The 15,173-nt window shown below is 43.5% G+C and overlaps 1 protein-coding gene across 4 annotated transcripts in view; it reads right to left on the reverse strand.

Moving 5' to 3' along the window:
- The window catches only part of JAK1 (Janus kinase 1), a 234,518-nt gene that overhangs the window by 209,012 nt on the left and 10,333 nt on the right, over positions 1-15,173 (reverse strand). The gene's annotated exons all lie outside the window — the stretch shown is intronic.

The raw sequence follows: 15,173 nt of genomic DNA on the forward strand, positions 1-15,173 counted from the left end.
ATGGGGTAAATGCAAATATTATCCCGTTTATTATCAGGAACTTCAGCTTCCATAGATTTTGCTACCTGAGGGAATCCTGAACCAATCTCCCTCAGATACTGAAGGACAACTGTATATACTTTTCATTTTCTTAGTCTTAGTTATGAAAAACCAGGCACTCTTATTTAACACACACACACACACACACACACACACACAAACACACCCCAGAAATTTCTTTTTACAGTTGCTCATACACAAAAAGCATAGAGAAGACTGAATTCATGTTACATCAGGTGACTTGGTGAAATAACTGGTGTTTCATATAGGGCTTTAGAGTTGGCCGAAGGTTGTCCTGGCCACTGAATTTTCTCCTTATAACAACCTTATGGAATAGCTGTCTTTGATGCGGGTCCAGTAAGTACTAGGTACCTGTCAAATCCAGAGTCCTCTTCTGAGAGCACTGACTCAACGGGGACTTTTCATTTTTTACTATGTTTGATAAAATAACTTCTGTTCTTGGTCTACAGAGAACTAAACTGAGGATGAGTTCAACTCTCTGCTTTTCTGCTTTTAGTCCCTATCTGCTAGGTGGTCATCAGCCTCAGCCAGAACACCTCTATCGCATGGGCATCACCTCCAAGGCAAGCTCCGGCTTCAGTTTGTTCTGACTGATGGCCAGAGAGAGAAGTGTAAAGATTCTCCTAGTGCTTCTGCAAGAGAACCACAGAGAGGAAAACACCTTTCAAGGAGTTTGGTGTGGGCCCATTACAGGTTCTCTATGTTGGAAATGACAAACCAACCCAATCAGATCCTTTCTGCAGGACAATATGAATGACAGGTGGTCTCAGAAAAAGTAGATCATGGAATCTAATGTTTTTCACTCAAAACAGTGCATGAGACCTGCTGTTTATCCCAATCGCAGAAATATGAGGACTTGGAGTTACTCTGTGACTAAAGAAGACATGGTATTGCATCTTTGTAATTAGCCTCCATTAATAAGGGGAATATAATATAAAGTCCTAATTTTTATGCCTATTCTAAAGGTGAGGAGATGGAGTCTCAGAGATATGAAGTAATCCACAAGGTCTCCTAGCTAGGAAGTGGCACCTACTTTCAATAACCTTGGTTACAGATTTTCATTAATAATAAAACAAACTCAATAGAAAAACTTTTTTAAATGTATAGACTTCAGATAATAAAAACAAAAACCTATACCACAATTTGGATGAATCTCCAGGGAGTTATTCTACATTGAAAAAAAGCCAATTCCAAAATGTTACATAGCATATGATTATATATATATATAGTTTGTTTTTGTTTTTTGTTTTTGAGACAAAGTCTTGCTCTGTTGCCCAGGCTGGACTGGAGTGGCATAATCTTGGCTCACTGCAACCTCTGCCTCCCAGACTCAAGTGATTCTCCCACCTCAGCCTCCTGAGTAGCTGGGACTACAGGCATGCACCACCACACCTGGCTAATTTTTTTTTTTTTTTTTTTTTTTTTGCTTGTTTGTTTGTTTAGATGGAGTCTCCCTCTGTTGCCCAGGCTGGAGTGCAGTGGCACAATCGCAGCTCACTGCAACCTCCGCCTCCTGGAGTCAACAATTCTCCTGCCTCAGCCTCCCAAGTAGCTGGGATTACAGGGGCCCACCACCACACCTGGCTAATTTTTGTATTTTTAATAAAGATAGGGTTTCACCATGTTGGCCAGGCTGGTCTCGAACTCCTGACCTCAAGTGATCCACCCGCCTTGGCCTCCAAAAGTGCTGGGATTACAGACGTGAGTCACCGCACCTGGCTGAATTTTTGTATTTTTTAAGAGATGAGGTTACACTGTGTTGGCCAGGCTGGTCTCAAACTCCTGACCCCAGGTAATCCACCTGCCTCGGCCTCCCAAAATGCTGGGATTACAGGTGTAAACCACTGTGCCCAGCCCTATTTACGTAACATTTTTGAAAGGACATAATTTTAGAAAGCAAGGATAGACTAGTGGTTGGCAAAGGTTAGAGATATGGATGGGGCTGGGTTTGGAGGCTCAGCAGGCTGGGACCCTGAACTGGTGATGTGGAGATGGTTGTTTCTGCTTTTTGGCAAAGTGCAGAGTGAGCTTTAGGTCAGATGTTTTTCAGTGAGCCCATCACAGGAAATCCTTGGCTTTCAGGACAATTTCTGAGCTTATTGTCTACCTTAGAGAAAGTAAATGAAGTTGCAAGTTTTTCAAATGGGTTAGTGTGACATTAGGATTAATACCTACGTACCTGCCTGTAGAAAAAGAATGCTTATGGCAGCTTGGTGCTGTAGAGAGTCAACGTGACTTTTAAGTGAAGGTGAAGATTGATGACAATCTGCAAACCACTGCACCTGTGTGGTGGAAAGTCAGGGTGACCAGATGGCTTGGGAAGTGGAGCCTGAAAGAGTAGTTCCAATTTGGTCTTGTTGTTTTTGCTGAGCTGGTGGCTGTTTGTAGCCAACAGGCCAACGGCAAGGGGAGAGATGTACACGCAGTTTGGGCGGCAGTACAAGAGAGGAGTGAAGCAAAAGAGGACAACTGAGTGCAACAGCAAGATTCATAGCTCCAGCAGGCTGTGTCCTGCTGTCACCCTTGGAGACTGTGATGCCCTGGGCAAGTCTTTTCTCTGAGTTTGATTCTCTGTTTGTAAAACATAACAATGAACTGTTGCCCAGCCTACATTACCAGGTTGTTGGAACAAATGGAATGATGCAGGTAAAAATATTGTGTGATTATAGACTAGTAATGGGATTTGGTAGCATTCCAAATCTAGTGGTCCCTAAATAAATAATTTCTGTACCTATGTTTTAGAAAGTAAGTCAACTCAGTCTGAAGACTGGTGGGTCCACGGTCCTCGGTCAGCACCGCTAAATGACTGGGTCTTGGCAGTGCCTGTCACACTCACCATGAGTTCTTGTATTGGGTCATACAGCTGGGGAGGAAGAAGGCATGATGGCCACATCAAAGCTGAGCTCTAATAACTGCAGCGGACTTCTTACTTTGCTCCCATGGCTGATCTCTGGCCCAAAGCCAAGCATATAGCAAGTCTAATGAATGAATGAATGCTTATCTAATTTAGTGAAGGGTTTTTTTTTCTCCTTTTCTGCTTAGGTAATTTGGTCAGTTACTAAGATTGGAAGTGACAGACAGGAGAAGAGAGACTATCACAGTGGGTAAGGGTCTAGCTAAAGACCCTCTGGGAGAGTGGCAGTTAGAGTTCAAAAACCTTCTCTGTGATGTGGCATTTGTGTGGTGGGAAGCATGAAAGCATGGTGGGAAGCATGAAATCATGGTGGCTCTGGAGTCAGGGGGTTGTGTGAGTGACCTAGCTTTATCCTCTGTGAGCCACAGTTTCTGCATCTGTGCAATGGTGATGATGACAGTGCCCTCCTCATAGAACTGTCATGAGGACTAAATGAGATCAACAGATATAGAACAGCTGGCACAAGCAGGAACACAATAATATGGGCCCTTTCCTTTCTCTTTCCCCTCTTCACATGATAGGAAAAAGATGTCATCACTCCTTTAAAATATCTCTCTTGCAAGTTTTTGAGAGAGAATGAAAATGGGAGCCTCAAATAGCTAAGCTTATCCTCTTTATAGCTCCTGGAAGTAAATCTTATCAAGCTTGGGATTTGGAGTCAGACAAACATAGCTTCAGATCCAAGCTCCACCAATTACAAGCTATGTGATCTTAAACACATCAGTTAATCTCTTCTAATCTGTCTTCTCAAGAGCTAAATCATATCTAAGAATATGGTTGTTTAGAAAGTTAAATGGGTGGTGTATGTAAAGTGTCTAGGACAGTATCTTATACACAGTCAGAACTCAATAAGTGGTCACTCTTTTAAGAACTGTCTTGGGTGTGGCACAGGGAGTGCACAGAAAAATGGAGAGCAGAGTGTCCACAGACATCACTATTATTTTTCATAATCATCAGCAATCCTTGGTTCCACCTGTGCAGTACTTTCTTCCCACTAGAGTTCAACAATAGTTTACTTTGAAAGACTTGGGGGATATGAATGAACAACAGGGTGGTATGATGCACTCCCAATACCCCACCTGCAGGCCCGGATGAGGCCCTTAAGTCAGACACGGACAAGCTGGAGGCCATGCCAAAGGGAGCCCACAGGATGGAAAACGGCTGGAAAGATGCCAAGCCAGGAGTGTCTGAGGGACTGGGACAAGAGACACCCACTGAGGAGTATAAGTAAACCAAGATTATATTTTCCTTTATTTCGTCATTCTTAAAGGGGAGGACTCAGACCAACGTTTGGAAGTTACCTGGAGATAAAATTCAGCTTGATACAAAGAATTTTCTGACAATGCAGCCATTCAATGACAGTGTAGCTGTCCATCAGTGGAACAGGCCATTTGGTTGAAGGAGACCTGAGTCCCAGAATCTGGCACTGGGGATGGGGCTGAAGGGGGTAGGTAGGCTGGTTCAAATAGCTCCCAGGTCTCTCACAGCTCTGAAATTCTGGTTTTTTGTGTTTTTAGTAGAGATGGAGTTTCACCATGTTGGTCAGGCTGGTGTCGAACTCCTGGCCTCAAGTGATCCACTCGCCTCAGTCTCCCAAAGTGCTGGGATTACAGGTGTGAGCCACCGCAGTGTGAGCCACCGCATCCAGCCCCAACCTCTTTTTTTTTTTTTTTTTTTGGTTAACTTTTTCATTTCAGTGTCAGGCACAATGGCCCACACCTGTAATCCCAGCACTTTGACAGGCTGAGGGAGGATCACTTGAGGCCTGGAGTTCAAGACCAGCCTAGGCAACACAGTGAGATCCCATCGCTATAGGAAAAAAAAAATAGCTAGGCATCTTGGCACATACCTGTAGTCCTAGTTACTTGGAGGCTGAGGCAAGAGGATAGCTTGAGCCCAGGAGTTGGAGTCAACAGTGACCTACGATTATGCCATTGAACTCTAGCCTGGGTAAAACCCTGTCTCCAAAAAATTTTTTTTGTTTCATTCTAACCATACAGTGGGGGAAAGGAAGCTACTGTTACCATGAATACTTAAAAACTGATTTTGAAATTAAAAATAACTACTTCCCCTTTGAAACACATTATTTAATCCCATGAACCTCAGTTTCCATATCTGTAAATGGGATGATATTTACCTATATAGATTGTTCATTAATTCAAAAACATTTGAACCTGGTCCTACTTGGTAGGGACTTATCTCATAACTAAAAAGTCATACAAGGCTGGGCGCGATGGCTCACGCCTGTAATCCCAGCACTTTGGGAGGCCAAGACGGGCAAATCACAAGGTCAGGAGATCGAGACCATCCTGGCTAACACGGTGAAACCCCGTCTCTACTAAAAATACAAAACAATTAGCCGGGCGTGGTGGCAGGTGCGTGTAGTCCCAGCTACTCGGGAGGCTGAGGCAGGAGAATGGCGTGAACCTGGGAGGCGGAGCTTGCAGTGCGCCGAGATCACGCCACTGCACTCCAGCCCGGGCAACAGAGCGAGACTTCATCTCAAAAAAAAAAAAAAGTCATACAGATCGCACAGAGCTTACATTCTAGTGGAGTCAGGCAGCGTTAAACACAGTAAGTATACTGAAGTACGTTAGTGTGGACGTACTGTGTGCAAGTGTTAATGCTATGAACAAATAAGGCAGAAAAAGGGACAGGGAGGGGGATGTGGCTTCTGTGAAAGAATTGAGATAATACAGGTAAAAAAAAAATCAGTTGTGGACAGTTCAATAGAAAGTCCTCAAACAATGTTAAGCTATTACTACCACAGGGACTTCTGAGCCCACGGACCTACAGTTAAGTGCATCATCCCACTTCTGAATTATTAAATAGGTGACGTATATTCAAAGAAAAAAACCAAACAGGAGTAGATCCTGATGTTGTTTGCAGGTGGAAGAAAAGAATCAATGAAAATGTCATGATTTGGGGGTTCTGGCATAGCCTCATTTGTCAAGGATGCTGATAAGAATCTGTGGAAAATTTAGAAATGCAGAAACCTGGGCTTGAACTGAGTGACATCAGGTAAGTGACCTAGTTTTTCTAGGTCTTCATTTTCCCTGCATTTGACCAGGGCTGTTGTGACACTCAGTTGTAACATGTAAAATACCAGACACACAGCAGGTATCGCTAGCATATATTATTATTACCATTGTCCAAACAAGCTCATCTGCATTTTCAGAGACTTTCAATGTGCTCAGGATGAAAAAATAAGGCAGTATTTCTCAGGAGGGCACATTCCACAATCATGTGTTACTAGGAGTTGGACTAAGGTCGCTTGTTATGAGAACACACGAGGAAAACATAAGGAAGTATTCAACCGATTAAATGCTCAATCCATTTCTCAGCCTTACTAGCTCCTTGGCTGCAGTCTTCAGAATCTCAGAAGATGCAAACAAAGACACGCTGATTCATTTAAAATAGTTCTTCGTATAAATCTGAGAGTTTAGCCAAAAAACAGTCCAAAAGGATTTATGAGGTGTGCTTTCCTTCACAGAGCCTGCAAGTCAAGGAGGCTACCTTTAATCAGCCTGAGTTTCCCAGACACCTCTGTAGCGTCGTCCCTTTGCTTCTTACCACTCTGATTGAGAGTCTTGGGAAATGGGCATTTAATATGTTTTCTGTTGAACTTTTTCTCATGGGAGCAGCTGTACGAGGAAGGGTTTCTTTCTGCTTTCCCAAGGGAAAAATCAGAAATCACTTCACTCCCATTTCTGCAAGTTCAAAAGCAAATGAAATCTTTGAGGCATTTATTGGTGTTAGTACCTTGTCCACTATCCACCCCTAAGGCAACGGGATCTATTTCTAGAATTGGAAGTCCCTCATTCACTGTCAATAGCCTTTTTCTGCTGTTAGGGGGCTTGCATCCACAATCTGCCCCTTCCAGGGGCAGCTGTAACCACCTGGACTTCAAAAGGAGTAAGGGCGAGGCCTGGCATGGTGGCTCATGCCTGTAATCCCAGTACTTTGGGAGGCTGAGGCGGGAATATCTCCTGGAGCCAGGTGTTTGAGACCAGCCTGAGCAACAAAGAGAGATCCTGTCTCTACAGAAAAATTTAAAAATCAGCCGGCCAGGTAGTGCACACCTGTAGTCCCAGATACTCAGGAGGCTGAGGCAGGAGGATCCTTTGAGCCCAGAAGTTTGAGGCTGCAGTGAGCCATGATCGTGGCCCTGCACTCCAGCCTGGGTAACAGAGTGAGATCCTGTCTCAAACAAACAACAATGACAAAAAACACAACCCAAACAACAACAAAAAGACTACACAAAAACTCACTTCTTCACGAACTTCAAAAGAGGTTGGTCCCTAGAAGAACCACCCACCTTGGTGGGCATGAGCTTTCTGACTGGCCACGGGTCCTTCCTTTGGGATACCATCCATATTCTAACTCACTCCTTGGGGCACATGTTTGTTGAGAGGCACTGCTGTGGTCCACAGATGGGTTGTGGAGGGTACTCTTTTGTGGGGCACTAGCAAAAAAGCTTAAGTTCCAAGCCATCACCCACATATTCACTGGAGGCCATGATGTCCAAGGAACCTCATATCCTCACCCCACCAAATGTAGTGTCGCTCCCTGTCTCTCTCCTGCCTCCTTCTCTTAGCATTGCAAGCCCTGGGCATAGGGAGCTCTTTCTGGGATAGTGGCTTACCAATTTTCAGACAATCATGATGTCAAATTCGCATGCTCCGCTTCGCTGAGAGAAGTTCCCACAAAAGGTGACATCTCCCCCTCCTCCAGTCATCTTTTTATGGGGGTGAAGGGTGGGGGCAATGTGAGAATTGGTTCTGCTGAAATGACACCTTTTGAAAAAGCTCTGCAGGAAAATGCCGCAGAGATGCAGATCTCTGACCACAGAAAGTGGGGATTTTGAACACCTTGTTTTTAGCTGTGGGTTCTTCTCACCCATACTTAGCAAACAGGAAACATTCCACTCACATCTCATAGTACACTAGTTTTCTACTGTGAACTCCATGCCAGGCTTATGCCAGACACTGCAAACACAACAATGGGTAGAGCCATGTTTCTTGTTTCACAGAATTCGCCATCTAACGAGACATTAAAAATATGCACCCGCAACACACGTGATTCAACTGTGACAAGTGCTCTGAAGGAAAAGCACAAAGTGCCATGAGATCAGACCTAGGCAGGATGTCAGGAAAAGGTCTCTGAGGAATCAGTACTTAGCCAGAAACTGAAGGATAAGAGGTAAGGTGAACTGAATGGTAAGGGTGTCCCAGGCAGAAGGAAATGCATCTGACACAGAAAGGACTTGATTCCCTGACAAAGGCCAGGCCAGTCAACTGGGTACAAGAGATGGGACCTGAGGAGTAGGTGGGACCACACTGCCCAGGGCATCATGGGGCAGCTGAAGAGGAGAAGCCACTAGAGTGTTTTAAACCAGAGGGTTTTTAAGTGATGGCATGATCAAACTTTCATTTTACAGAGGTAACTCCAGCTGAAGAGTAGAGAAGGCATCAGAAAAAGGCAACAGTGGACAGGGGAGGCAGTGTATGGTGCAAATTTTAAAGCAATTTTACACATGCTGGGTCTAACTCTGTTTCGAAGCCTCACCTACTAATCAACATAATATTAACTTCTTACATTGTTTCTGGACTCAAATGCCTGCTTCATCACTGACTAGCTGTGTGGCTTAGGGACCCACTGGGAGCCTGAGAGCCTCCTCAGGTTCTTCAATTAGGAAACATGGAGAACTCTTCTACTCTTTGAGGATTTCAATGAGGATGAAATGAGTGCTTTGGTACACAGGCGCTCAACAAATATTGACTCATCTCAAGCAAATACAATTAAGGAAATAAAAGGAGAAAGGGAAAGCCTCTTCTAGCTATTTGATCCAATTACTTAAAATTCTACCTGTAAATTATGCAGGGGATAAGCATTTATTTAACAGTAGCAAATTTTATGCTATTAGACTAGTGCTATTAGAATAGCTTGAGACCTGATAGGTATGTCAGGTTTTTTTTTTTTTAACAGAAATTAGTGAATGATGATAAGTGGAAAGATTCATGTCTCAATATACACTATATATTACACTAGACTTTTAAAATTAAAAATCCATAATTCCCTCTCCATAAAAAAGGGTGTCTATATTCCCAGTGATATGGTTTTCCAGAAATCTAGTCCCTATCAATATAAATCTGGGAATTTCTGCCATTCCAGAGGATCTAAGCTTCTACACTACCAATACTGCATACTAAGGTATCAGCAAATGTAGCACTCCTCCTCAGTCTGATGTCCACAGCACACCCGGGTTGATCACAGGTAGACCCAGAAAGGTGGTTACAGCACTCCTTCCTGCAGAGCCCAGATGTGGTCTCAGAAGTCTTCCCAGCAAAGTGCCCTAGACAGCTAGCCCCCAGTGGACCCCAAGATATTCCTGGTTCGAAGATACTCATTTTCAAATTGAAAAAAACCAATGGGAGTCTAAGTAATTTTTCTGCAATTTCATTTACAAAGATAGTAGCAAAAAAGTGAAAATACATTTTCTACAGACTAAATCGAAATGGTTCTCTATTTCTTCTCACCTTTTAACATCATCAATCTCCTCATAATCTCATGGAAAATAAAATACAGTAATAGTCTAAATGCACAAAGCAACGTATAATCAGCTTACTTTACTCCATTTCAATTATGTGCATTTTAACATATTTACATTAGAAGCATGTATTACAACCCGAAACCTTGTCAGACAGCTTAAAGAACCCAGCTGAGAATGTTCCATACCTGCTTGCTTATTTGTTTATTAAGAGACAGGGTCTGGCTGTTACCCAGGCTGGAGTGCAGTGGCACCATCCTAGCTCACTGCAGCATCAAACTCCTGGGCTCACGCAATCCTGCCTCAGCCTCCGGAAGAGCTGGGACTACAAGCATGCACCACCACGCCTGGCTATTTTTTTTTTTTTTTTTTTTTTGGTAGAGACAGTCTCACTTTGTTGCTCAGGCTGGTCTTGACCACTTTGGTCTCCCAGAGTACTGGGATCACAGATGTGAGCCACCACACCCAGCTCAGGCACACATTCTTGTACTTGGCAATCTCCTCCAGTGGGAATCCTTACACTCATCATGTCTTAAATATGAAAGAAAAATACAAAATGGACTTTTGGTGCCTCCCTTACCTAACTCGTTCATGCTTCATGAAGAATTCTTGTGGTTACAAATGATGACTAGGCCGGGCATGGTGGCTCACACCTGTAATCCCAGCACTTTGGGAGGCCGAGGCAGGTGGATCACCTGAGGTCGGCAGTTCAAGACCAGCCTGACCAACACGGTGAAACCCCGCCCCTACTAAAAATACAAAATCAGGCTGGGCGCAGTGGCTCATGCCTGTAATCCCAGCACCTTTGGGAGGCCGAGGCGGGCGGATCACGAGGTCAGGAGATCGAGACCATCCTGGCTAACACGATGAAATCCCATCTCTACTAAAAATACAAAAAACTTAGCCGGGTGTGGTGGTGGGTGCCTGTAGTTCCAGCTACTTGGGAGGCTGAGGCAGGAGAATGGCGTGAACCCGGGAGGCAGAGCTTGCAGTGAGCTGAGATCGCGCCACTGCACTCCAGCCTGGGCGACACTCCAGCCTGGGCAACACTCCAGTCTGGGCACTCCAGCCTGGGTGTCAGAGCGAGACTCCATCTCAAAAAAAAAAAAAAAAAAAATTAGCCAAGCATGGCGGCGCATGCCTGTAATCCCAGCTACTCAGGAGGCTGAGGCAGGAGAATCGCTGGGACCCGGGAGGCACAGGTTGCAGTGAGCCAAGATCACGCCATTGCACTCCAGCCTGGTGACAGAGCAAGACTCTTGTCTCAAAAAAAAAAAAAAAAAAAAAAAAAAGACTAGAGGCTGGGCACAGTGGCTCACGCCTGTAATCCCAGCACTTTGGGAGGCTGAGGTAGGCAGATCACCTGAGGTCAGGAGTTTGAGACCAGTCTGGTCAACATGGCGAAACCCCATCTCTAAGAAAAAATACAAAAATTAGCCAGGCATGGTGGCATATGCCTGTAGTCCCAGCTACTCGGGAGGCTGAGGCAGGAAAATCGCTTGACCCGGGAGGCGGAGGTTGCAATGAGGCAAGATTATGCCACTGCACTCCAACTGGGCGACAGAGCAAGACTCCGCCTCAAAAAAAACACAAAAACAAAAAACGATGACTGGTAATGGTGAAGACAAAGTATGAATAGAATGCACCTGTAAATATGAATAGAATGCACCTGTAAATATGAATGCAGAGTTTTAAAGAAGCAATTTTTAAAGGAAAAAAATCTCTGAAGTGTAAAAACGTAAGAGGTTTGTCTCAAAGAGCAACTGATCTGAAAGAAATATACTCACTTAAGAACAGGATAGACAAGCCAATGTGGTGGCCTAGGCCTGTAATCCCAGCACTTTGGGAGGCCAAAGCAGGAGGATTGCTTGAGCCCAGGAGTTCAAGATCAGCCTGAGAAACAGTGAAAACCTGTCTCTACAAAAAAATTTTTGAAAAATTAGCCGGGCATGGTGGTGCACACCCATAGTCTCAGCTAATCAGGAGGCTGAGGCTACAATGAGCCGTGATGGCACCACTGCACTCTAAGCCTGAGCTATGGAAGACCCTGTCTCCCCTGGGCCCCCCAAAACAGGATAAGGCAAGTTTGTGGCACACTTAAAATTGGGTGGTTATTCAGAGAAGCTAGAAATGTACTAGGCATAGCAAAATATTTGAAATTAGCGTGGCAGGCAAGAACAACAGCTAGCTGTCTGCTCCAACTCTGTGTAGTATGATCAAGGTAGAATACTGTGCAGGATCTGGTGGAGGTAGTCTAATGTTCCTAAAACTAAAATCTGATTTTAGTTTTAAAAGCATGACCCTAAGTGAGGACTTTGTGATGAAACAGATACGGTCCACAAATGAATCCTTTTTACCCACAGCTAATAAAACATGTGATCCCTTAGGGAAGGTTACTGCTATTTCCAGCCTCAATTATTATATTCTTATTATCAAATTTAAGCATGTAACAACAAATAGGAAAACTATTCGTGACAGACAGCAAGCTGTAGAATGCTCCTTTAATGAAGCTGCTAATACTTGACTTGTAAGACTAACCAGGATACTTTTTAAAACTATACTTAATACTATTATTTCATATATTGTATGTTTATATTTTAATAACATGCCACATTTAAATGCTGCTTTAGTCTCTTATATATATGATTTTATATATATGATTTCCCTAAGAAGGGAAAGGTCTGGGATTGGTGAATCCTCAAGTAATTTGAAACACTAAACATTAGGAGTATTTTAAATTACCTGAGGATTCACCAATCCCAGACCGTTCCCTTCTTATGAGTTCTTCCATAGGTTGTCAGAAATTCCTTTTCTGTTTAAAAAAACTCCAAAGAATTTCAGGAGTGGTAGCATAACTCCAAAGACGTGGGCAGTTGAGGCAACTGGAACAGGAAGAGGACCAGTGAGTTGCCCAATCTCACCAGAAAAGACATAAAGCCAGCAAGAGATGCCACATCAGGTGACTTCTTGTCCACGCCTTTTTCTCATTGTTTTTAATATTCATTGCTACTATATTGAGTTTTCTTTACATTTTACACAATTCTAAAGCTATGCTATGTTGGAAACCCTGGAAACATGTGTAAAGGACTTCAGATTAGAGAACTTGAAATGCATAAAGACATGGCAATTACATTTTAATTGCTTACTTGAAACAGCAGTTATCTTCACACGGAAAACTAAGGGAGAGCAGAGAAATCAACTAAATCCTGTTTTTGGCTTCAAGAGGGTTATTATCCTGAATCTCTTTTATTGTGGTAAAATACACATAAAATTTTCCATTTTTAGGTGTACATTGTGTCATTAAGCACATTCATGTTGTTGTGCAACTGCCATCATCCATCTCCAGAATTTTTTCATCTTCCCCAAATACAACTCCATTAAACACTAACTCTCCATTCCCCCCTCTCCCCCAGCTCCTGGCAACCATCAGTTCCTGGCTGTATGAATTTAACGACTCTAGGAGCCTCATGTGAGTGGAATCATAACAGTATACACCCTTTTATGTCTGGCTTATTTCACTTAGCATGGTATCTTCAAGGTTCATCCATGTTGTAGCATATGTCAGAATTTCCTTCCTTTTAAGGCTGAATCATATTCCAATGTAGGTATACACTACATTTCATTTATCTACTTATCCATCAATGGACACTTGGGTTGCTCCTTTTAGTTATTGTGAATCATGTTGCTATAAACATGGGTATACAATATCTGTCAGAGTGCCGCCTTTCACATCTTTTGGGTATGTATCCAGAAGTGGAAATGCTGGATTATACGGTATTCCTAGGTTTAATTGCAATCTTACCATCTCACATACTTCACCTAAACTGAAAAATGTAACGAATATACCAACCAAACACACACTGTGTTTTAAGCAAGGCAGTGGAAAAACCCCATTGGATCTGTCTTGCATCACTTCTCTCTTAACCTGCTGGAACACCTTACGTCTATGAAATGCCTTGAAGATGCCAAAGACCTCCAGGTCCAGGCAAGCTTCTGGAGCTCCTGCTGCAGACTAAGCCTCAGCCTTCTTGTTTAGAGGAAAGGGGACCCAGCATGACTCTGTCCGTAGTGCAGGGTGACTGCAAATGACACCCAACACTCAGTTCTTCAACACCCCACAGGCCTGGTTGTAGATTTTGAGGTCAAGGTTGGGTAAGTATAAAACCCAATGAATTTTTATAAAACTAGTAACGGGGAAAACAGGAAGATCAGGGAAGGTGGTGAAATCTTCACCAAGGCCAATGATTGCACAACACATAACTTCTTGAAGCACTTTTTTCCACCTGCTCAAACACTAAACATAAGGAGTGTTTCAAATTACTTGAGGATTCACCAATCCCTAACTTTCCCTTCCTAAAAGTTCTTCCAGAGTTTCTGTCAGAAATTCCTTTTAAGAAAACTCCAAAGAATTTCAGGAGTGGTAGCATAATAACTGGGGAGACCCCTCTCTCTAATTAATCAAAAACGTAGTGTAGCTTATATAGCTTAGAGAAATTGTGGATCTATGAGGACATGTGAAGGTACTGGGCTATAATGTGGTCAATGTGTCTGAAAAAATAACAGTTCTGGGCCAACCAAGTGTGGCTCAAGGGATCACTACTAAGAATGGTTCCTCTTTGGGTAGAGCAGAGGGAAGAGACACTAAAGGGAACTGCAATCACCAGCAAAGGAACACAGTGACCATCAATGTCTGAGGACTGGCACAATGAAGGATAAGAAAGAACCTCTCTGTACGAGGCCTACTCCCTTTCAGTTCCCTTTCTTCCCCATTGTGTCCCAGTGGAGGACCTGATAATACACCTGACCCATATCTAAGACATGCAGTTGGCAGGGCTGATAGTAGGTAAGGTTCACAGTATGTTAAAAAGTCACACGAGGCCGGGTGCAGTGGCTCAATGCCTGTAATCTCAGCACTTTGGGAGGCTGAGGGTAGGAGAATCACTTGAGGACAGGAGTTTGAAACCAGTTTGGGCAACATGGTGAAACACCATCTCTACCAAAAATACAAAATTACATGGGCATGGTGGTGCACACCTGTAATCCCAGCTACTCGGCAGGCTGAGGCATAAGGATCACTTGACCCCGGGAGGCAGAGGTTGCAGTGAACCAAGACTGAGCTACTGCACTCCAGCCTGACCGCAGACTGAGACTCTTTCTTTAAAAAAAAAAAAAAAAAAAAAAGTCACAAATGGTTTTTCTCTCCCTGGCCCCTCTTCTCTCTGTGGTAGGTAGGTTCAAATTACAGCCTAACCTCAGCCATCTCTGTTCTCTTTGCTCAAGCATATGGGTCACTGCTTTGGGTTCCTACACCAGTCAGACATCCACAGGCTCCCAGATACAGACATGAGCCTAGGATGAGGTAATATACCCGATTAGGCTCTGAGCCTAAAACACGTTCCATGAAATTACCTGAGCCTTCCTTGCACAGTACTGTGATCTAAGATCTAACACATAATCAAGTCATGCACTTTGTTTCTTATTTGCTATTGTTACATGTGTACAGTGTCCTTAGGAGTCTACAGGGAAGAGGGATAATTGGCAGAGATTGGCATTGGCAGAATCCTGGGTTCTCCAATAACCACCTTTCACCCCCAGCAGTACTCTCTAGAGTAAGATGGAGGTTGAAGATGTGTGCTGTTAAATTTCCTA

The sequence above is a fragment of the Homo sapiens genome, chromosome 1 (assembly GCF_000001405.40).
Source record: "Homo sapiens chromosome 1, GRCh38.p14 Primary Assembly".
NCBI classification, from domain to species: Eukaryota; Metazoa; Chordata; class Mammalia; order Primates; family Hominidae; genus Homo; species Homo sapiens.